Source organism: Homo sapiens, chromosome 6 (genome assembly GCF_000001405.40).
Source record: "Homo sapiens chromosome 6, GRCh38.p14 Primary Assembly".
Taxonomy (NCBI): Eukaryota; Metazoa; Chordata; class Mammalia; order Primates; family Hominidae; genus Homo; species Homo sapiens.
Genome location: NC_000006.12, coordinates 119,860,629 through 119,885,856, shown reverse-complemented (window position 1 = coordinate 119,885,856; position 25,228 = coordinate 119,860,629). Strand labels below are relative to the sequence as shown.

Below are 25,228 nucleotides of genomic sequence, written 5' to 3'. Positions count from 1 at the left end.
ATTTGCCAGCAGACAGACCAGTACACCTAATTAGGCAGTTTTAAAGAGAGTCCATAAGCAATTAAGAGCCTATTTCTGTTTGCAGCAGTAACTTCCTGGCTTTCCTGCCAGTGGCCACTACAAAGACAACCACAGACATGAGAGCATTTCCCATTGTTTGCACATGTACACTATCATAGACAATGTGGAAGAATTTTGAAAGTCACAAATATGGTCTCATTTCATAAGAAGATGCCTTGCATGCAAGAAAAATTATGCGGATTTGTGGGGACTGATTACAAGGCAAGGTGAAAACAAATAGTATGAGCCACAAATCTTTCTTATGGGATCCTAGATACCTCTTTTTTAATGCCACTAATGCCCATATTTAACGCCTAATAACCAGAACTAATTTAACCAGTTAAAAATAATCTCCCTAATCTGGGAAGCCAAAAGTGCAAGTGGTGGTTTCATATTAGACAGAAGTGGTGGAGACAGCATGTGCTTCTTGAAGAACTAGTATATTTGATACCAAAATGACAAGCTCTATTTGATCAATATGGTCATGAATTTAAGAAGGAAGGAGTAATCAACAGTGCTCAATGCTATAGTTCTTCCTAACTGGAGATTTAAAATATTTCACTTAGATTTGAAAATTCTCCATGACCTTAACAAAAGTAGATCCAATACCATCACGAGGACTGAATTAGCTTGCAACATAAAGTAAAAAATAGAAGCAGCTCTTTCTTTTATCTTCGTATATTAATCCACTAGGGCTGCCATAACAAAATGCCACAGACTGAGTGACTTGAACAACATAAATTTATTTCTTACAGTCTGGATGCTGGGAGTCCAAGATCAAGATGTCAACAGACTTGGTTTCTCCTGAGGCCTCTCTCCTTGGCTTGCAGAAGGCCACCTTCTCACTGTGCCTTCACATGGCCTTTTTTTCTCTAAATGAACTTCCCTAATGTCTCTTCCTGTTCTATAAGGACACCAGTCCTATTGGATTAGGGCCCACCCTAATGGCGTTATTTAACCTTCATTACCTTTTCAAAGGCCCTATCTCCATACAGTCACATTGAGGGTTAGGGCTTCAACATATGAACTGGGGGGGTGTGTGTGGAAGAGGGGAGAACAACTTTGTCAGTAACAGTTCCCTTCCTTTCCTTTCCCTTTCTGAACAACTTAATCCAAAATCTTCTCATTAGGGTCAAGCAAGAAAGGCATCAGCCTAAGGATTGGGTGGGGTTAGACTGCAATGGGCTAGTGCAGTGTGTCAGAGCCTCTGTGGGGTGAGGATAGTGATGGGAAGATAGCTACAGTACACTAAGGGCATGAGGAACACCGAGGTTCAGAGTGTCAAGGTCAAGAAAGGGAAAGAGAACACCCATGTCAGGAATTAGGGAAGATGGCTGATCATGGGTTTAGTGGGCCCAGGCAAAGAGAAGAAGTGTTCTACCCCAGCACGGAGGCCCAGCACAAAGTGTCAGGGTACAGGCAAAAGAAGGAAAGTATCCACTCAGGAAGGGTGACAGCAGCCAGCACAGGATAAAGGAGGTCAAGCTGAGGTAAGAAGGGGACCCTGCTGGTGGAGGAAGTGCCTTGCATGGGATCTCAGAGCCCTATTGTGGTGAAAAGCACATGGTAGTGGTAGCCTGGCACAGATTTATCAGAGTCACTGTGAGTGGTGTTAAGGAGGTATCTTCATTCATTTTGTGGTGATATAACAGAATGCCACACACTGAGTAATTTATAAACAGTATAAGTTTATTTGGCTTAAAATTCTGAAGACTGGAAAGTCCAAGAGCATGGCACTGGCATATAGGGAGGGCCTTCATGCTGTGTCATCCCATAGCAGAAGATAGAAAGGCAACAGAGGGAAAGAACGAGAGGAAGGAGACCAGACTCATCCTTCTTCTCAAGAACCCATTCTCATTATATCAGCATTAATTCATTCATGAGGGAAGAGCCCTCATGACTTAATCACCTCATAAACATCCCACCTCTCAACACTATTGCATTGGGCATTAAGTTTCCAGCACATAATCTTTGCTATACCTTAGCAGAAGGATATTCTTGGGGGAAGAGGGCAGTGGCAGGAATGAGATCAGTTACATACAGGAAAATTCATCAAATAAGTAAAAATATTTAGAATAATGGGAGCCTGTTTTTCACTGTCAGAGAAGGGAGTTACAAATCTAGAAATAGAGAAAACTAGAATGAACTCTGTGGTGTTAGATTGGAATTGGAAATTTCAGTGTGAACTTATGGTTTCCAGTATATATGGAGAGAGTTATAAATATAGATGCAAGTGAGTGTGTGTGTGTGTGTGTTTGTGAACTTGCATATATTCCCTAGTCCTATCCATTGAGAGAGCCTGGAAGCAGTGTTGCATACATAGTCATGAGTGTAACCAGATTTTGCATACTAAAAAACATTTTCCTTTTAAAAGAACCAAGGTTCCTAGTAGAAATATTTGATTCCAGGCATGGGGCAAAAAAACTAAGAGTTGAGTCTGAATCTTCCGTTATGCCATAAAATAAGTATCAAAGAGTAAAGACATGTCAAGAGGACAAAGAAGCCAGCACAAAGGAGCTGGCCCTGGTCAAATCTTTGCCAATTTGAGTATCAGAATAGACAATAATAGTAATGGATTTTAATTTATTTAATAAAATAGAAAACCAGAGTTTATACAAACAGAAATAAAGAAATATGTAATGATATGGCTTGGATCTGTGTCCCCACCCAAATCTCCTGTCAAACTGTAATCCCCAGTGTTGGAGGTAGGGCCTGGTGGGTCTAGGGGTGGTTTCTCATGGTTTAACATCATTCTCCTTGATGGTGTTGTGGCAAAACAACGAGATTTGGTTGTTTAAAAGTGTGCAGCACCTCCCCACTCTCTCACGATCTTGCTCCAGCCATGTAAGATGCACTTGCTTCCTCTTTGCCTTCTGCCATGATTGTAAGTTTCCTGAGTTCTCCCCAGAAGCTGAGCAGACACCAGCATCATGCTTCCTGTATAGCCTGTGGAACCGTGAGCCAATTAAACTTTTTTTCTTTATAAATTACACAGACTCAGGTATTTCTTCATAGTAGTGCAAGAACAGACAAACACATGTAATCTAAAAATTTGGTAAGAAATGAGATATTTACATAGATTTAAATTACCACCCCCATGAAATATTTACTAATTGCAAAGGGACCAAGAGTAATTTACAGTGGAAAAGCCTGAAAGGTGGCATCTTAATTAAGTGATCATTGTGAGCATTATTAATAAAGGGACAAATTAATGTCATAAGCCACCTGACAGGATGCAATGAGCAGAACACAATATCACTCCTGGGATTGTCTTACCTATAATGTGTAATTTGAATCTACTCATGAGAAAATGCCAAATAAATTTGCAAAACAATTTATAAAATATTTGACCTGTACTTTTCAAAGATGCCACTGTAAGGAAAGTCTGGAAAGACTGAGGACTGGTTCCAGATTAAAGGAGGCTAACAAGACCTATAACTGAATGCAGTGTGTGATTCTGAACTGGTTCCTCTTGCAATGAGGGACATTTACGGGTGAAAATTAATTGGATCCTGAGAATTAGTTGTTAGTGTTGCTTCAGTGCTAATGTCCAGATTCTGATAACTGCTTTGCGGTCCAGTAGGAAAACGTCTTTGCTGGAGGAAAAACACACTAAAATATTCAGATTTGAGGGGGTAACCGGTTGGCAATTTTAAATGATTCGTGAAAACGTTTTTTTGCACTGTGTTTACGAAAAGTTTCTAAGTTTGAGGTTGTTGGAAAAACTTGAAGACAAAAAAAAAGACAGGGAATATATAATGTACCTGTATAGAAATCAGACAAGTGCGGAGAAAAGCAGGCCAAAGATTTACTGAAAAGGGGCATGAAGAAACTTCCAGGGATGATGGAAATGCTTTATATCTTGAATGGAGTAGTGGTTATTTAAGTGTATAAATTAGTCAAATCCCATCAAACTGTATACTTAAGATCTATGCACCATGCTGCATTATAGCTTAATGAAGTTAACAACCATATAAAAATGAGGCAGCATGTTCAGGCAATTCATCCAAACTGCTTGGTTTAGAAAAAGAAAAGAGAAATAAAGTATAGCTAGAGGCAGATCCAGAGTCAAAGAAAAAAGCTTTCCTTTTGTTTTTCTTTTGTTTTGTCTCTGGATGTGGCTCTGGAACATGTGACTGTATCATATGAATCATCTGTGCACGCTGAAGGAGAAAGCCAGTGCAGAAAGAGAGGCTGGAACTAGAGGAGAGAAAGAAGATCCAAAACAGAAAGAGGGCAGATGGCAGAGCAGAGTCCTGGAGGAGGCAGGAGAATAGGATTTGGTTGGAAGTGCACCTCACTATTGAGGCCAAATGAAAGGAGCTTTAGGATATGGTGGCTATAGGTAGCTGAGAATCTTCTCATTGAATATCCCTAATTATTTGTGAAGTAACTTTTGGGGTTATCTTTTGAATATGAAGAGTTAAAATGGCTAAGGGAGTTTTAAAAGGCGAAGCAAGCTTGAAATTGGAATACAGAAACCAGGATAAGGATCTGCCTAGGTATTCTAATAATGTAATGGGAATAGTGTGTCTTTCCTCATTAATCTAGACTTCAGCAAGAAGAAAAGGTAATTTCCTTAAATCTGTCCTTAGTCTGATTATGCAGCTTCAATCATCTTAATTCCTTAAATCCACCTTACAGAGCAGCAATTTGTTCAAATAAAAAGGCTCTGAAGGAAATAAAGCAACAGGCCTAAAAGAAATGCATCATGTCCTGACCCACTCAGCAACCTGCTCAATTTTACATGATTCATCTCTGAGTGAACATGATGATGATATACATTGTGTTCTCTTAGCCTAACAGTGTGAAGAGGTTGAGCAGGTGTAGAAATTACTCCTGAAAGGGCTAAGGGAGATAACTTTCATAATGGTTTATAGACTGTTTATATGTTTTTCTAGCTGGTAACAATTTTTTCTTTCAAAGCATTTTTTTTGTAACAAATGTATCAGGATGCTGTATATCCCATAGCCTTTCATTAACAGATTTACTAGTTTAATCAGGATTCGAAGTTCAAAAACTACATATTAAATAGAGAATCAGAATATTAACAGAGAACGCAGGTTTTTCCAAGACTATATCCTGTATCAGAAAAGGAGCTGGGCAGCCTAAGTTTTTAGCCTTCCTCCGAATGGCTCTCACCTCCTGAGAGGTTATGATATTCTCATTGCTCTTCTGGAACTTGGCTCAAATCCACTGGGCCTTTTGCTCAAGTAGTTCCCCTCCTGTAACAGCCGACAGTGTCAGTTAAATGGCTTGAGGACTCCATTTTGACCAAAATTGAGAATATCCTATGCAACTAGCATAGATTTATGATAATTCTAAACAAAATGATTGCTTCCTTTCTGAAACTGAACTGTAACAGTATTATTCAAAAAATGTATTTTCCCAATAGAAACAAACAAACAAAACTGGTGAGTTTATTTAACTTCATTACTGTTTTGAAGGAAATAATAAGAAAGCAGTGCTTTGTTTCTGATCTGTATTCAAGCAGCCTACTCAGTGATATCAGTGGAAAAGATGTTTATTAAGGTTGCATTAACAGCTAATTTAAGTAAGGAGAATTGAGTCCTTTCCTTTAGGTACAAATTTCCCCATAGGTGCAATTTATGAAATTGTTTTACTTCTGGGCTTTTTCATTTTTGTTGCATGATTTGGTTAAGTTGGAGAACATCAGGCAATCACTTTCTTATAGCCAGCTTGGAAACCAAACATTCTTGTTCTAATCTTTGAAAACACATGGAATTGAGAAAAACAGGTTTTTTTCAATATCACTGGATCCAAAATCTCACAGTGATATTCATCCTACAACCTTCAAACCATATGTGTCTCACAGAATATTTCATGATGCTCTCTGCTAAGTCACATTATGGAGTCAGACAACTTCCTTTGGATTGTGATATAACAGTTGACCTGGAAAATGGGAGATTTAAAACAGTCATCTCAACAGACACAGATGGACTCACACTAAGGCGAGTAGGAGGAATTCATGAAGCCAGCTGTCTGGAAATGAATGACTGACTCTCCTTGACTGATCTCTCCTTCAACCTAAAATAATACTCCTCAGATCATAACCTTTATATGGCTGTTTTGATAAATTTACTTTTAAATTTTACCATAAAAACTGTAATTATACATGACAGTAATTAGGCTGAATTCATCAGTGATGTCTCAGGACCCCTGATGATGAAGGAGGGAAAACTGATCTTCAGCTATTTAGGAGAGGCAATGTGTTATAACAAACAGAACACAAGATTTACAGCCAGACAGGGGTTCCATTCTCACCTTCACCTCTTACAAGCTGTAATATCTCAGGTCACTCATTTGTTCTATAAGGCCAGTGTGACTGGTACAGAGATGCTGTTGAGAATCAGTGACCTAGTACCTACAAAACAATTAGAATGTTGCAGTGCCCAGTAATTGGCAGTTATTATGCATTTATAACAGGCTTGATTCATCTTTTTATCACTTAGTACATGTTGTTGTGCCTTAGATACACAATAAATGAAAGATTAAATTGTTGATTTTTAGTGAGTTCCTGTTAATCAACTAAATTAAGTGATTTCATATTGAAAGCATTTATGGTAAATCCGTATGTTAAAAATAAATGTTTTAACCTGATTCACTCACAAAAAAAGCTGACAGAACTGAAACATTCCAAATACACTGCTACTAGTTGTTCTGATATCCTCAATGCAATTTCCAACCTTATTAAAAGGGTGGGAAGTTATGGAAGATAATCCTCTTTTGATTTTTCACTGGCTTCTATTGTGTTTAAGAGAAGGAATCATGGAGTCATAACATTTTAAAGCTAGGGGTAGGTCTTAGAAATCTCTAATTAACCCCTTCCTTTTATAGATGACTAAACTAAGGGCTAGGGAGACGTAGTGACTTGCACATGATCATATCAGCAGAGCCAAGATTAGAAATCAGGTCACAGAAATCTCAATGCAATTTTCTTTATTCTACATCATCCTGCATAAATCAAACCTATGCTGTAGTGATATGCTTTTGTGCTTTAGAAGAGAACTCTGTGGTGAGTTCTTATGGCACAAAAGGTATCTTAGATCAATGTAACTCAAAGTGAGACAGGAATCATACCTCATTCAGTCACCAGTTTTTAGGGGATTGATAATTTAACATCTCCTTTGTTCAGCTCCTTGGCATACAGTCTATAAATTATTCTAACATAAAATCTAGAGTCTTACAAATTATTGGTATTAAACACATGTTGTTTTTTTCCAAAGTAATGGTAAATGGTTCTCTAGAAAGAATAAACTATTCTTCAAAGCAAGTTTTGCTTTTTGAAGTGGTATGGAAACATTCAAATGCATTCTTCTCCTTCAAAGGCAGAATGATTTAGTCTCAGAACACTTAATAAATGGACGATCTTTGGAGGATACTCAATTGATTTGTGCCTAAGTTTGCTTCTCTGTTCATATTATGACACTAATAGTAGTTATATAGTTATTATATGAATTAGCTGAGATAATACATGTAAAGGACTTACAATGATAACATAAGAACTTAAAAAATATTAACTGCTACTATTATTGTTCTTGTTATCACTATTATTATTACCATCCTTTGTTAAAAACAGATGTTATTCACATTTAACAATATTAGATTTTATCCTTTTTCTTCCGTATACCTCATGAGTGTAGCTCTCCCACCTTAGGTCCTTCTCTTATCCGGTTAAATGGTGCCATGAAATTTTAATCACAGTCAACGCCTATGCTTTTTGCTACTGGGCTTCAAGGCTTCAAAAGAATGTGACAATTAATAAACATTCACATTTGCTTCAATAGAATCTTAATGTTTTGAGAGTCCTCTTACTCTTCTCCTCTTGCAGTTTTCCAAGTCTGCTAACTCCCCTTCATTTGGAAATCAAGGTGAACATAAGAAAGAAAAATTTGTTAGATATTTGAATAAAATCAGAAATAAATTTAATATAGGCTATTCCTAGGTATCTGTAGGAATATTATTTCAAGCTGCTTTAAATGACAGCATATAACTCCTTGATTGGCTGTAAGAAAAATAATAGAATCAGAAAGATCTTTTTTGCATTCTTCATCACCTCAGACAGGGCCTCAAATAAATAGATCTCTATAAATATTTTTGAATTAATAGATAAGAAATACCAAAATACAATGGCAAATTCAAGTGTCAGTCAAATATTTGCAGCTGTAGCATTTCTTCAGTACAGGGTTTTGTTTTCTTCTTTACACATCTTCATTGGTAAAATTTGAATGGATGAGACTTATTTTCTTGCCAAGACTTATAATGTGTATACTATTTGTCAATTGTAAGTGGACAATTAGTGGGTATTCATCATTCACATGCCTCAGTTGATTACACTGGAGGCAATGCTAAAGAAAGATCACCTTTCAATGTATTAACAACAGATTCAGGACACCGAAAAAACAATTCATTTCTCAAACACAGCACCTTCTTTCTCTTGATAAAGTATATTCTCCAAAGTTAGATCATTTTACAAAAAGCCTAAGGTCCTGACTATGATTACATTAAAGAACATGTGGTCACAGGACATATATTACCTGCCATTTTTAACTGTGTATGCTCATTTTATACTCAATTCTGCATTTTTATACCAAAACTGGAGTTAGTTGACTCTGTTCAACAGGCATTGCCTAAATTAGATTGCTAGACTAATATGCTTTTTTAAAAAAGACTAGTGAGTACTGTAAGATTTCAGGGCAAATATTCTCATTCTGAGTATAAAATATATTTGATTTAGGATGGATATAAATTAGGTTTGATTCCAGAAATACCAACAAAAAAATCCCCTAATTTATAAATATGTTTTAGGTGTAAAAATGGAATGAAAGCCATTTTTCAAAATTATAGATCTATAAAGTACATTGAATAAAGCCCATTTTAAAATAATATGTATAAACTAATACTGACTTCTCTTCTTCCCCTGGGACACAGGAAAAGAAATTTTAGACTTTCCTTGAAAGAAAATCATAGAATTTTCACTAACTCAAACTGAAAAAATAAGTCTCTTGGATCATTATTAAAAATGCTTAAAATCCATTGCCACAAAATACTTTCTCTGATAAACTCAGACCAATGTCTTCATTTTCCATTTACCTTAAGGCATCTGCCTTAAGACAATTTCCTAATGTAGTTGGACTGCAAAGTCTCAGAGTCTAAAAGCCTGAGAATCAGTAGCTCCAATGTCCAAGGGCAAGAGAAGATGAATGTCCCAGATCAAGAATAGAGAAAATAAATCTTCCTTTCCTTTCCCTTTTGTTCTATTAGTGTCCTCGATGAATTGTATGATGCGCACACACATTAGAGAAGGAAGATCTTCTTTTCTCAGTCCACTGGTTCAAATGCTAATCTCTTCTGAAAACACCCTCACAGACACACCCAGAAATAATCTTTTACCAGCTATCTGGCCATATCTTAGACAAGTCTAGCTGACACATAAAATTAACCATCACACCTTGGAAGGGAAGGCCAAACGCTAAATGGAATCCAAGAACAGCCAAATGAGGAAGGAGTCAACTATGATACATTATTCACCCTGAATAACAAGCTCTCACTAACTTCACGGCCTTCTCAAAGTTTCAAAATAATAATTAGTGATTGATAGTACCAACCCAGAAACTTTTGTCATACTTCATTACTACGTCTCTACAATCCCCTGAGAATTACAGATCAAATTTAAGAGAGTCAGTTCAGTATCACAGCATGAGGAATCCCAAGAGCAAATATTGTTTGCCAATTAAATAACAGAAGGAAGACGTCATCTTACTGTTTCTATCAGACATTTTCAGAAAACGCATGCGATTTTCAGGAAATCAAAAATAAAAGCAAGCATAAACAGAGTTAAATATGTCACTTCTAAATAAAACTGATCCTTGAAACTGATCCATAGCTGTTTCTTGATTCTTAAAATGATAGCATGACTGCTATTTGTCATGAAGTAGGGACAGATGTTTTTAGTCTAAATAAGGTAGGGAACAAACACATGCTACCTTTTTCAAAAGGTCAACAAAAGGCACAGATGAAATAATCACATTACAAATACCCATAATAAATAATAAAAATGTACATTTCTTGGAGTTAATAATTAAAGTAAAGGGAAATTTCTCTATTGACAACATGTAACTTATGTGAGACATAAGGCTCTTTTGATAGCAAGCTGGTCATGATGCACAAACCTCTGCACTGACTATGGGTACTGCTCTCTGTTATCAAACACTCAGCTCAGAAAAGCCACTGGCTGATGTGCACCTGTGAAATTGAGTCGCACCCAATTCAACCTCTCTGGACAGAATCAAACACTGAGAATGATGAGAAAGTTATGTGAATTTGTAAGAGATACACGTATGCTGTTGAAGTCTAATAGAAATATTTTAACCACTGGCCTGAATCCAATCTGCACAGTAATTTAATAGACTATCAACCACAAATGCAATCCATAAGGCAAGTGAATGGGTATGAAATGCAATTGGCAATTTTCTCGGAAAGGGATTGGTAGAATCAAACTAATCTATGTGAAAAAGGAAGCTGCCTGGCAATATCACATAGTCAGAATTTTGAATAAGAAAGTGTAACCAATCATATCCTTATAATGTATTGCTTTGGAAAAAAATTTGATCAACACCATAGAACCTAACAAATCTGGAAAAAAAATATTATTCTTAGTCATCAAGAATTGCTCTTTGATTCCAGAATATTTTATTTCATTAAATGTATAGAAATTCCATTGAAACAGAACTTGGAACCAGTGTTTTCTAAGAAACATGTAAGCATACATGCGTAAATGATTTTTTTCTTTCAAAGCAATTTATTGCAACTTGTATCATTTAGACACTATTTTAAAATCCCACCCTCAGAAAATATTTTCCGAGTTACTTAAGGAGCCATGCAAGGAAATTAATCTTATGACTTTATCATCATAATTGAGAGAACATAAATTTAGAAACTTGTGATTAGCTCCATTCTAACACTACTAAATAGAAACATGTAGACTAGGTATAAAAGTATTTTATAAGAGAAAAATATAAAAAATCTTTTGTAGAAGAAAGCCATGGGTTATTCTTCATAGAAAGATTTCACAACTACACTGAATTGCATTATTTCAACAACCTGGAATTGTCTAAAGAGACGAGTAAACTTCATGGTCTGAATGTCCTTTTCAGCTGAGGATTAGATTCTTTTGTATCACATATTTATTGTGTCATATATGTAGAACATAACACAAATATTACTCATCAGTTCACGGGTTAAATGCAGTATTCTCTGCCAACCATATTTCATGCATATAAATACTCGCTAGTGTACGTTTCCTCCAAGGATGCTCAGAATTTTTTTTCATGTGAAATAGAATAATGAAGAGATTTTGGTTATAAAAGAAAGCTAATTTTTGCATTAAAGACTAGACCACTAAGAAGACTAAATAAATTTGAAAATAACTCAAAAAATCCAATACCATATTTTATTCACTTATTGAAGCAACAAACAGGTATTGATAAATTATGTGACAGTATTCTAAGTATTCACATGCGGAAGTTAATAAAAGAGACAATGACCTCTGTCCTCATAGAGCCTGCATTATTATGTGGAAGACAAATATTAAACTAAGTTACACAAAGAAACATATAATTAAATGTTATATATTTACACACACATTAGAGAAGGAAGATCTTCTTTGACTTCTAAATTATACTTCTAATTAGATTTTGTTTATACTTATTTAGTTATACTTCTAAATTAGATTTTGGCTTGTTTAAATACTAAGTTAGGTTACAGTTTGCCACACAGCAACTCAAGGTACAGAGGCAACCTCAAGCCAAAGTGAAATTGATTTAACAATATATTAACAATGATGGCTCTTTTTCCTAAATGCAATTAGAAAATATTGAGGAATTTTAAATAAGGGAAGGACACAGCCAAACTTAATTCATAAAAAATTTGCTGTAGCCCTGAGAATAATGGGGATGGGGATGATGGTGTGTGGCATGAGGGGATGGACTATAGGGAGCCAAGAGGGGTTATGACACTATTGCACTTGGACTCTGGTGGTTTCAGTGGAGATGATGAGAAGGTTTGAAATCATCTTATGTGGTATTATAGTGTAAATTTAATGTCAACAATAAATTAATGTCAGTTGCTTTTTCCTGATTCCTGATAAAACTTGGCCATAACTTCACATAAAATAATTTAAACAAAACATTTTATTGTAATCATTTACAGAAAACAGAATAAGGCAGCTGCATTTATAAAACTAATCACATATTTACCTGCCATGAGAGCACACTAATCCCTAGAATATCTTCTGATAAATACAGATTAATGTCAGTTTTCTATTTTTATTAGTTCCCACTAGGTAGGATTAACTTCACAATTTACCAATTCATGATGAATTTACCTTTATGTAGTTAATCTATGTAATTATGTAGTTAATTTATGTAATCTAAAGGCTTAAGGGAATAGCAACAAAGAGAATATGCTTAGTCAGATAAAAGGTAAGTCAAAACAAATTATTTGCTCATAAGCAAATATACATAAATATGACAAAAAAAATCATTAAACAGGATTTCCAACTTGTTCTAAAGTACTTGTCCCTGAATGTGACTAGAGATCTGGACACATTAAACTGAAAACAGTTATGTGCAAATGCCCATATCAATAAAAGTTAAAAAGGTTTGAGCGATGTTAAAAACAGCCCTTGGGGTAAGCTAATTAGTAAACTAGAGGGTCTTAAAACTCTCAAGTGCTGCCTTTGAACTGAAGAAGACACCTACTAATGAAGTCCCCAGTGGAATCAAAGTTTAAATCTGGTAGTATGAGTATTTCTGTATCTGAATTTCAACTATGTTGATGCAGTAAAAGCAGTACGAAACGTTACTCAATAAGGAAAAGTAGGGTAAAAATGTTCACAGTACCATGAGCTGAAAGCATTTCATTTTTAATTCCTTGTTTATATAGAATGCATATTAAACAGTCATGAGCAACTAAAATATCTTACAAACAGGTTAAACACATTTAACAGGGAAGTTAAACAAATTTAACAGAGAAAGGTTAAATTTGGGGTTATAATGTATTTGGTTGGACTTATAATAACTGGTAGAGGCAGGGTAGATATTTGAGGGAGAACATAATGAATTAAATCCAAGTCTTTGACTCACTTACAAATTTAAAAAATAGGGAAGTAAAATTTGCTCTTTTAAGAAGCCTGGTACACTACAAATATCAGCCTTTATAACCAAACAATCTATTACTTCAAATAAAATATTTTAAAGCAGCATAATCAGAGCAGATATTTAATTTGAAAATCCATATGGACTATCTAATTGCCCTAATCTTGACAAGAGGAAAAGGATCGTTCCAATGGCTAACACTTTCTACTTATTACCAAGTGTATGATTTATTATACTTCATAGAAAAGTCATTTGCTATGAGAGTTGTGTTTTCTAATAAGCAGCCCACTATGATGTGTTACAGTGTTTTCCTCTTTCAGCAGGAGACTCTAGAGACACTGAGTAGGTTTCAGAGACAAGAAAACTTTGCAAACACCACTAACCTGAACGGACTCTCCAAAAGGGTCGTGACACACAGGAGCACAGGCATAACTTGCAAACAGCACGCCCTTTTCCTTCCCCGAGGACAGAAGGAAGATAGCATACCTCCATGTGTATAGTTTGGAGAAATCAGAAATAGATTAACAAGGCAGAAACAAATTAAAAGAAAAAAGAATGTTTCCACCAATACTGAACAAACTCAATTAAACTAGCTCAGTATGCTCAGCACAGCCTTATTGTACCCACACCTATCCCAGTCAGAGGATTTCCATGACCCTCTTCCAAACAGATTCAGAATTCTTCATCAAAACCTCACATCCTCCCCTCCACCACCCCTCCTTTTTTAACATTTTTCTTTGTAAAGGCAGAGAAGAGAAGGAAGAAAAAAAGAAAGGGATGGAGGAAATAAAATAACAAAACTTTCTTAGCCTGCTTGAGACCATCACCTCACTTTGGTACAGAACTCACAGGGACAACACTGCAGAGCTGCTAAGAAAGGAAAAAGCCCAGGAGAGCAATGAGTGATCAGTTTTCAGTCAGGCAGGCTTCTGAGAGTTGGGAAACAGCAATCATTACGTTATGTGTGCCTGCTGCTTGGTATACGTGCATCTTACATATTCATCTTGCCTCTATTCTTATCTTTCTGTGCTACCCAAAATAGAACTGTCTTTGTGGGTTTATTTTTGCTTTATTTATAAACTCCCTGTAGTGTTGCACTGGCACTCAACATTTTATTGTTGTTGTCATTTGGGATTTTAATATCCCTGATCTCGCTTATCAGTAGACATGTAGTAGTGTAATTCAGGAGCAGGAAGTTCCCTCTATCTCCTACTAACTAACATGTCTCCTGGCTAGTTATAACTTAAGTCCATAATTCTACCTGAAAATCAGAAAGTTATCTAGGTTCTAATGTTTTCATCGTTTAAAATGAAAATATCCCTAGCACCTTATGCTGAGCTATCCATCATTGACATTTCAATGTAAACTTGTTAAAGTGGATTGCAATCAATTTCTAACACTTTGCCTGTGCCATTTATACTGCAGAGATGAGTTTCATGGAGGTAACCAGAGGGGTCATATATAAACCAGACACACAGACCAGGAAGTGCTGGCATATATGGTGACTCCGGTAAACAAGAATCTTGTGGCGTGGGAACACACACAGACTCTGAGGGCAGAAAATGGTGGAGGGGACAGAAGAAAGGTAAACTTTATATGCTTCGCAATTTTGTCTCCAACTGGCCGTGGGTCCCATTGTATTTATTATTAAAACCTTCCTTTAACTCATCTTGTTCTTTTCCATTATGGCAGGTATTTCTTAAGGTCATAAGTTGGTTCTAACTGCAGATCTCTGATATTTTATCAGTGCTTAGAGAGTTGTTTAATCTTGGGCTGAAATGCAAACATTAATAAAAATAGTAGAATCATAGGGGAGGAAGAAGTTTTCAAACAACACTTTTTTCAGAATTGGTAGAATGAAGAAAAATGTTGACTAATGGTTCAAACACTGAAGGAGGATGAGGGGAAGAGAAGACAAACAAATGGGAGACGAGGGAAATAGCCGATGGGGTTGTATCAATCAAAAAGTAAGATAGTAAAAACAGTGTTTTGTTCTTGGATGAGAAATGATCCTCTAGCCAGGGTGGAGTTTAATGCAGTAGGGGGATACTAATACAGAGACAGACAGCAGAAAATGTAGAAACCACAGGGACAAAGCTATTGGATTTGAGAAAGAAAATAAATTTCTTGTATCTGTTTTCTCGAGTATGAGAAAGCTTTAGGCTATTCTTAAGGAAAGACGATAGGTAGAAAAAGAGAAGACAGGAAAAGAGCAGCCTTTAAATGTTGATTTAATCCTTTCCCTTCAAGAAAATGTTTAAAATTTTTCATTGATCTTGTTCTGAACAATTGCAGGTATTATGTTTGTTTGCTTGCTTTTGTTTTCTTCACATTCTCTAGGTCAGTTGCAAGAGTTAGTTTCAGACAGAGGCAAGGCTGCTGTTAATCTTAAAGCAGTCTATTTTACTTTTAGGAAAAGTAAAAATCTCATTTTCTTTCAGACAGGGTTGATTGTAACAGGAAAAGAAAAAATAGGATTGAAATATGTTTTGTTCTAGATGGTACTATATTGCAGTAGACAAATAAGATGTGAAACTAAAAGTTTGTCAGAAGAGGCATGAGGTAGATAGTCAGCAATTGTTAGTACACATTACCCCAAAGTGAGGAAACTTTACTGCACAAACCACACATTCAGTCCAACATTACTCTATTAGTCTATAGCATATTAAAAAAAATTTAAAGTATCTTCTGAATGTATATTTGTTTTCACTTATTATTTATCTAGCCCAAACCTATTATACAGGTTTGTTTTTCCTTAATAATTCATTATCTATCCATCTTTAGCCTTCAAAATGTAGGATACTTTCATTTCTCCTCTTTTCTCTTCATTTATTTCGCTCTGTCTCATTCTCTTGAGCTCCGTCTCTCTGCTTTTCATTTATTTAGCTCTGTCTCATTCTCTTGAGCTCTGTCTCTCTCCTTTTCATTTATCTAGCTCTGCCTCATTCTCTTGAATGCCAGAGAGCTGGAAAGTACAAGTGTGTTTTTTTCCTGCAAAGACTTTAAATCTAAACCCTTTTCAGCCTCAAGATAAACCATTCTCCTCAAAGTCATCCAACTCACTCTTTCCATCAGTAAATATCTCCAGGTCACTCATGAATGAAAAACTGATTACTCTTTGCCAGTGTTCCATGGAATCCACAATCTTCAGTGTTCGAATAGCACATTCTTCTCCTCCCTTGAGTCCTCGTCTATAATCATTTGTGAGTGAATTTATTACTTCAGGCTTCTTGTTTTGAACTCTTACCATTTTCTTTCCAATGTTGCCCAGCTTTTTTCCAAGATCCCCAAAGACCACTTTTTATTTTATTAATTTTTTTTCACAATGGACCTGTCTCCTAAGAGGATGCCTCAACCAAGTCTTTATTGCCAGGTGATTTTCCCTTCCAACATTTACGTGGATGTTATTTTCACTTCCTCTCAGGTAAATGTTACCTTGACCTTTAGAGTGAAGTGTAAGGTGTATGTGAATATGAGGTTTTCACAGGTTACACATCACCTTAGGACAATTCTGGGAGGGTGTTTTGAAAAAATCAGAGAATGAACTGTAAGAGGAGGAATATATTAGAAAATTACCACAAATCCAACAAAGGAAAAGGCTTACCTACACACTCAGGTGAATGAAGAAAAACATGCAGCTAAGAGAAACAAAGAAATTGATATAGGGAGGAAATGAATATATGCCAGGAAAAAGAGAGAAAATAGAAGAGAGAGAAAGTGAGAGAGAGGGAGAGAGAGAGAGAAAGAGAGAGGGAGAGAGATGCAAAGTTAAATAGACCTTTTTAGGAAAGTAGATTGTTAGAAAAGGGATAGAAACTATTGCTGAGGACCCTAAATAAAAAGATTCATATGAATCAAATACATTCTTCCAATGCCAGTGTATTTTTATTTAATCTGTTTCTGATTGTTCTCCCTTATTCATAAGTATTTTTCTAGGGGCATAATATTATTTTATTATTTACCAGTAGCCATTGTGGTAATTCATTGCTTCAACTAAACTATTTTATACATTGATTAAAATATTCTGGTACAACAAATAATGAAATAGGTAATATTTATTGCATAAAAACTCTCTGCTAGGCACTGCAATAAGCAATTTACATACCTTTTTTCATCTTATCCTTATAACATCCCTATGAAACAGATAGTAGCATTTTTATTCAACAACTGAGTCAACTGAAACTCAGAGAAGTTGAATAATTTATCCAAGGTAAAACAGCAATTAAGGAGAGAAGTGGGATTCAAACCCATGTGTATCTAGCACCAAAGTCCATCCTCCTCACTAAATGCTACTATAGGCTATCAACGAAGTTCTATTAGCTGGTATTAACATAATTTTGTGTAGCAAACCATTATGCTCAGGTTTAAATGGATATTGCAAGATAAATATTTCAAATCATATTACCTTATTTAAAAAATGTCTAATGATATATGTATGTTGTATAAATAATGCAAAATTCAACTTACTAAAATATTTACATATACGTATACATTAAATATATATATATTTACATATTATAATAGAACCTTGCTCATCAGGTTTTAGCCAGTGACCTAGTAAGGCTCTTTCTGATTTAGGTCCTATGTTTTCTGTCATTTATGTAAAATTAAACTTATCTAATTTTAACTGCACAATTGAATGAGTTTTGACAAATGTATACACTTATGTAACTATCACCAAATTCAACATTTTTATCACTGACGTTTTCCTCATGTTCCTTTATCATCAATTCTCACCCTACTCTGGCTCATTGATGTGCTTTCCATCACTATGTCTTTGCCCTTTCTATGGCTCACTACATGCCACTACAAGCTATTGACTAAGTTTCATTAGTTAAGTTTTATAGCTATGGCTTTCCAGCCATACTGTATGATTGATAGAAATATAAATTTACATAAGTGAATCATATAGTATGTAGTCTTCTGTGACTGTGTCATTCCTATAGATCCACATTGCTATCTAGTATTATTTCTCTTCAAATATGAATTAACTTTCTTTAGTCATTGTTCTTCGTAATAGAGATCTAATGGCAATATATTCTCTAACCTTTTTAATCTGAATTTATTATTCCATTTTTATTTTGAAGGATAGCTTCACTGGATATAGGTTGATTTTATTTTCCTTCTGCATTTTAAATACACTTTTCTAATGTCTTTGGGCTTTCATAATCTGATGAGAAGTCAAGCATGAATCTTACCTTTTTCCCTAATAGCTAATGTGTTATTTTTCTCTAGGTGCTTTCAAGATTTTCTACTTATTTTAGCTTTTAGCAATTTTTTTTCTTTTTCAGACAGAGTCACACTCTGTCACCAAGGCTGGAGAGCAGTGGTGCAATATTGGCTCACTGCAAACTCTGCCTTCCATGTTCAAGTGATTCTCTTGCCTGAGCCTCCTGAGTAGCTGGGATTATAGGTGTGTGCCACCACACCCAGCTAACTTTCGTATTTTTAGTAGAGGTGGAGTTTTGCCATGCTGGCCAGGCTGGTAGCGAACTCCCGGCCTCAAGTGATCTTCCCACCTCAGCTTCCAAAGTGCTGGGATTACAGGCATGGGCCACCATGCTTGGCTGCTTGTAGTAATTTGATGATGATGTGTCTGCAGGTTTATTTTTTTGTGTTTAACTTGCATGAAGTTCTTTGAACTTCTTGGATTAGTAGGTCAATGTTTTCCATCAAATTTGAACTGTCTTGCATCTTTTTTTTCCTTTTTTTTTTGCTTTTTTTTTCCTTTCTTGTCTCTCTTTTTAGGATTTAAATGATATATATGTTGTACCATTTCATATGACCACTTCATATTTTCCCACAGATCTTAAGATTCACTTTATTTTTCTTTATTCATTTTTCTATTTCTTCTTTAAATTTTATAGTTTCTATTGATCTATCTTCAAGCTCACCAATTCTTTCTTATGTCATCTGCAATCTGATGTTGAAACCATCAACTCATTTTTAAAATTTCATTAATTCTACTTTTCCACTCTAATTTATATGTTTTAGTTAATTGTCATTTCTCTATCCCATCTGTTTGTTCATTAAGGTCATATTTTTATTTAGTACTTTGAAAATATTTTCTTTTAATTCTTTTAAAATAATTATATGCTTTGAAGGCTCGATCTGCCTAATCCAATATCTAGGTTTTTTGGATTCAGTTTATATTGACTGCTTTTATTTTCCCGGTTATTTTTCACATATAGCTATTTTTTTGACACTTGATTTCTGGTTGAAAACCCAGATTCTGCAGATAATATATTGTAGTGACTCAAAATTTTATCATGTTCTCCTAAGAATTATCCTCTTCTGTTTCAGTAGACAGTTAATTTGTGTGGAATCAAATTGCAAATTCTGTTGCCACCCTCTAGTCTTCCACTCCACTTGCTCCACTCAACCACCCTCCAGATCTGGCAGTATGCAGCTGCTAATACGGATACTTTATTCTAATGCCTTCCCACTGGTGCGTTTTTTTCCTAGCTTTCTGTGGACCACCTCATGCCTGAAAAATTTGTCAGTAAGCTGAAGATTTAAGCAGATATGGGGCTTATGCTTCCTGTTTTCCCTTGCTTCCAGGGTATCTCTTAATTTTCAAGTGCTCTGTTGACTTTGGGCTGTGTACGCTGACACTTCAAACTTTCTGCTGACTGAACTGGGCATGGTTCAGGAATACAGCCAGTTATGAAAATTATCAAATTCAAAGATCTGATTCTGTGACACCCCATGTTTCAAGGATATATTTATCTCTGGTCTCTGGCTGATTTCCCATCATGCCTCCTGAGGGCTCCCCTATACTTAAGTTATTTAGCTTTCTGACAAATATGTGGACAGTTTATGTTCAGAAATTGGGTCTCCTTGCTTCTCATACTGTTCAGGATTTCTCCTATAAATTTTTAGTTGTTTTTCCAGTTTTGAACTTTGATCTCTGGCACATTTAGCCTGTTGCCAATTTAGACAGTTTTGCCCTGGGGGAGGATGACACACTCAAGTCAGGAAGCAACAGACTCAAACTTCTTACCCATTCCAGTTGTAGTTTTATGAGTTTAACTGTCTCCTAGCTTCTGGGGTCTTTTAAAATGCTTTCCACTGTCTTCATATAGTTGTTTTGTTTATTTTAAATGTTATTCAGTGTTATAGCTCTTAACTAGTGGATGTTCACATGACTATTTCACTCCCTTCCTTTCTGAGGTTCTACAATTATGCCTGGTAAAACCAAATCTGACAAGTCTTTCAAAATATTGATTTTAATTATTTGTGATACACCTTAATTTTGGTTAAAATATATTTTATCACATAAATCATCCTTACCATGTTCATCTTTCTTTGTATGACTATTATATGTCTTGGGTGTGATATCTTTTTTATAAATTTTGTCACTAACACGTTCTCTTCTAAATATAAAATCATAAAAATGACAATGTACCTGAAACAACCAATCACTGAAAATTTGTGTCTTGGATATCCTGTGTCAATATGCAACCAATGGTCCTGTACTAACCAAACTAAATGGGGTAGTAAAGTAAGGTAACTTATATCAATATAGGTATAACAGAAGTGTTGACCATAAAGAAGCCAAACTCTGTAAAATGTTTGAAGATATTTATTCTGAGCCAACTGTGAGGGCCATGACCCATGACACAGCCTCAAGAGATCCTGAGAACATGTGCCCAAGGTGGTGGGGTGACATCTTGGTTTTATACATTTTAGGGAAACATATCAATCAATACATGTGAAGTACACATGGGTTTGGACTGGAAAGGTGGGACATCTTTAAGCAGGGAGAGGGGAGTAATTTCAGATCATAGGTGAATTCAGAGATTTCCAAATTACCAAATGGTTAAGAGTTAAGTTTTGCCTAAAGTTGAAGTTAGCAGAAAGAAATTCTTGAGGTGACGATAAAGGGAGTTGTGCAAGCCAAGGTTCTTGTTATATAGAAACTTCCAGGTAGCAGGCTTCAAAGAGAACAGATAGTAAATGTATCTTATCAGACCTTAGAAGGTACCAGGCTCTTAGTTAATCTCTTCAGGATTGGGAGGGTCTGAAAGGGGGAGGATCTAGTTATCTTAATAGAGATTCTTTACATATGCAAAGAGCCATTTCAAAATATGGCAAAGGACTATATTCTAAGTAAAATATTCTGATTTTCTTCTTTATCTGTCATGTGATGTTATACTAGAGTCAGGTTGGAATTTGGCATCTTACTGCTACAAAAAGTCTGGTTTGTCAGTATTAAAATCTCTGTTTTAATGTTAATGTGGGTCAGTTGTGTCTAAAGTCTGAATCAGAGAGGGTATAATGAGGCATGTCTGATCCCTGCTTCCTTTCATGGCCTGAACTTGTTTTTCAGGTTTCTTGGGAATCCTCTTGGCTGAGATAGGGGTCCATTTAGTCAGTTTGGGGGCTTAGAGTTTTATTTCTGGTTTATAAAGGATTAATGAGACAATCTTGATTAAGAAAATATTCTGGAGTTAGAGGGCCAAAGTACTTACATATTGGCTTGTACAAGACGTTTTTCTATCTCTGATGTTATAAAAATGATCATTAGATCATAAGATCTCAGGAATAATACAGAGAAGGAGTTGTATTTATATTGGAGGTGCTTGCTGAGATTGAGTCCTGCTCTTACATAGGATAGTTACCAACTGGACTCAGGTTCACCCTCAAGCCACCTTTAAGACCAGAATGTGACAACCTCACTAACCTGGCCTCTACCATGTGTTACATCCAGTGAACACAGCAGCCTGCTTTGATCTTTTCCTGTGAAGTGTCTCATCCATAAGACCCTGCTGCAGGGCTAAAGGGGAGGGAGACAGGCTACATCTGGGACTTTTTTTTTTCTTATTCTGAGTGAAGTATAAATTGGCTTCTTGTTTTGTTTTAGGAGTTTAAATGTCAAGAGTGTTTAATTTGATCTGCTTTACATATGTTAAGAAGGAAATTAGGAAGTCTATTAAGGGCTGAGTGTCAAGAGTTTTCATTAGTGACTTGAGTGTATCTCAGTATCATTTTTTTAAATATTTGTAAGTTATTTTAGAGTTAAGAAATTTGTATTAATATGATAAAGTCAAAAAAAGATCAAATTGTAAGGATCCACAGCCTAAGGCACTACTGTCTTTGATCCTTTGAAAACACTTCAGCCAGGAGGAGGCTATCGGGCTTGGAAAGGAAATTAGGAAAATCAGAAAATGGTTAAATTGACTGAAGTTAAAAAAAGTTTATGGAGATATGGAAAAGAGATTTTTAGTGGTAACTGAATAAGGGGTATAAGTGACAAGAATCAATATTGGAGGAGCTGAGCTACAGTAAGGAAGGAGTTGTGAGGGAAGAGATTAGTGTGTTTCTGATTTTTATTTGCAAGGTAGAGAGAAGATAAGCAAACAGGGAAGTTGAGATTTGGGCAGCTTTGATGAGAAATGGGACTTTGAGGAAGAAGTATTTAGGTATTATACTACCTAATATACAATATAATTACCTACTCCAACTCTGAGTACCCCCAAAATACAGAATTTCTCTTTAGCTTCTTTAGAACAAACATCTTTTTTTTAATGCCACAACATGTTGCGATGACTTTTAAAGTCATGAAAAAAAAAGACTTAAAGCTGCACCTCTGATGAGCCAAGACTGCCACTTTCATCATGACAGTCAGGTTGCTGAATTTGACAGACAAGCCAGAGCAGGTACAAGTCATAATTGGATTACCCCAGTAAGATAAGAAGCAAACTATAAAAATTACTCTGACACTAGAAGAGTGCCTGATCTGTAACTGGATATATCAAATGGAATAGAGAGCCTTAGAACTATGTGAGATTGCCAGACTGTGAAAGTCTAAGAAAGCTCTCATGAGATTACAGGATAGAAATTAGTATTTAAGCCACATCTACACACACATAATTTATTGAAACATTTGAGTCTTTTCTATAAAAAAGAAGAGGTCTGTGGCAGGCACAATTGAATTGTTTTAGGGTCCTTTCCTGGACCCACAGGCTAAGATCTGATTCACTGGTGCTTGGAGACCTCAGAGGGCTGAAAAAATTCTTCCCTAAAGAAACTGGAGTAGTTTTCATAAATTAAATTCAAGGCTGGAAAAAGGAATGTGTTACTGAAATACTACAACAGTGACAATTCTAAGGTGCTGAAAATTAACAGAGATTAAAAGGGGTAATGATAGATAATGTAGGCTTTGCATTAAGAATAATTTCAGGATTCAGAGCTGTAGGCTTCCATATCCATGACTGAATGCCTGTTCGTCATAAAAAGAATGCAGAGCAAGACAGGGAGTTTACAGGATCAATTTATAAACATGTGTAAGAGAAGGGCAAGAAGTTTTCTGCACAGTGTTGAGATCCAGGGTCTTTAATAGCACATCACACAGTTGTACCAATGTATTAGATAATTCTCATGCTGCTATGAAGAAATACCTGAGATTGGGTAATTCAAAAAGAAAAGAGGTTTAACTGACTCACAGTTTTGCATGGCTGGGGGGTCCTCAAGAAACTTACAATCAGAGGGGAAGATACCTCTTTACTAGGTGGCAGGAGAGAGAGAGTGAGTGTCAGCAGGTGAGATGCCAGACATTTATAAAACAATCAGATCTCATGAGAATTCACCCGCTATCACAAGAACAACATGGGGGAAACCACCCCCATGATTCAATTACCTCCCACCAGTTCTCTTCCACGACACATGGGGATTATGGCGATTACAATTCAAGATGAGATTTGGGTGGGGACACAGCCAAACCATATCACCCAGAGGAGAGTTTGCAAAAGAGGAATGTCTGGATCAAGTCAGTACAAGATATATTTAAAGCCAAAAGTTTCCATTCAAACTTAAGACTTTTTTCCAGAATCGTAAGAGGCCACCTGTACCCTCAAGGCCAGTGAATGTAACTACAGAGGAGGAAAAGTAGGTTCCTGTGGCAGCCCTCAGGGATAAACGCAAATAGAAGGCTTCTGGATAGAGGTGTCAGGGCAGCCATGGGGGCCAGGAAAGCTGATATAGGAAAGAAAACATAAAAAGAAAGAATCCTTAAATGAACAGGTCCTCATGGACACGGATAGAAACATTTATTCACTTGCTATAAAGAGATTTTCAGAACCAACCTGGTGCCAGTGTATGGATTATGTCTCCTAACTTATATTCTATTCATAGGGATTGATGATTGATGGCGTCTCTGGCCATTTAGCACTACTAATTCCCTGAATCACATCAGAACCTAGATGTAGGAAAAGATACTTTAACAAACCTAAGTCATCTAAGAACTTTGGGAGGTAGCAACATCTATGTTTGTTTCACTTAATGGCAAGGTCAAACATTTGTTGGCATATAATACCTCAGAAAAAAAGTAATCAATGAAAACATCAATTATCCTCTCTGATTGCATAGAAACTGAGCACAATCAGTTTGAATCAGAAAGAACAAGGGCAAAAGCAACAGAAACACAAACGCACAAACCCAGTAGAAGGAATAGAACTTCAAAAGATTGAGATTTAGATGAAAAGGGATGCTGGGTGTCAAAGTATACATTATAGTCCTTTTTGATAAAGGGTAAATTATAACACAGTCAAAAACTTTATTAAAATGTAAGTCTTACACCTTTTCCCTCACCGTAACAACTTAGGAAATCTCTTTAGTTTCATACTGAGCTATTCAGCTCTAGGCCCTTTGTCGAGCTGGGCTGAACTGTGGAAAAGATAAAGATAGGGAGGTAGCAGGAGACATTAAGTTGAACTATACCGGAAAGGATATGGCAGTAACTGGAGAATACACCTGGAAAAAGGCAGAAAGGAGTAACCAGAGATTTCTGAAGGAGCTAGAGTTATATATTGAGTAGAGATTCATCATGGGTTGATTGGGAGAGGGATATTTTATTTTAGTTTTATTTATTTTCGCTTGGAGGACAGAAGGAAAACCATAATAGCAAATGAAGGTATTTCAGTTTCCATAAAGAGTAGAAATATGGGGAGATAGATATGACTCCTTCTCATCTTTCAATTCTCAAATGT

At 35.9% G+C, this 25,228-nt stretch overlaps 1 long non-coding RNA gene across 1 annotated transcript; it reads right to left on the bottom strand.

Moving 5' to 3' along the window:
- Positions 1–1,728: 1,728 nt before the first annotated feature.
- LOC124901390 (uncharacterized) lies at positions 1,729–18,507 on the bottom strand. The gene is made up of 2 exons (XR_007059730.1): positions 6,346–18,507; positions 1,729–5,285 (listed from the first exon to the last, which is right to left on the bottom strand). It is a non-coding gene; the product is annotated as an uncharacterized LOC124901390 (long non-coding RNA).
- Positions 18,508–25,228: the final 6,721 nt, after the last annotated feature.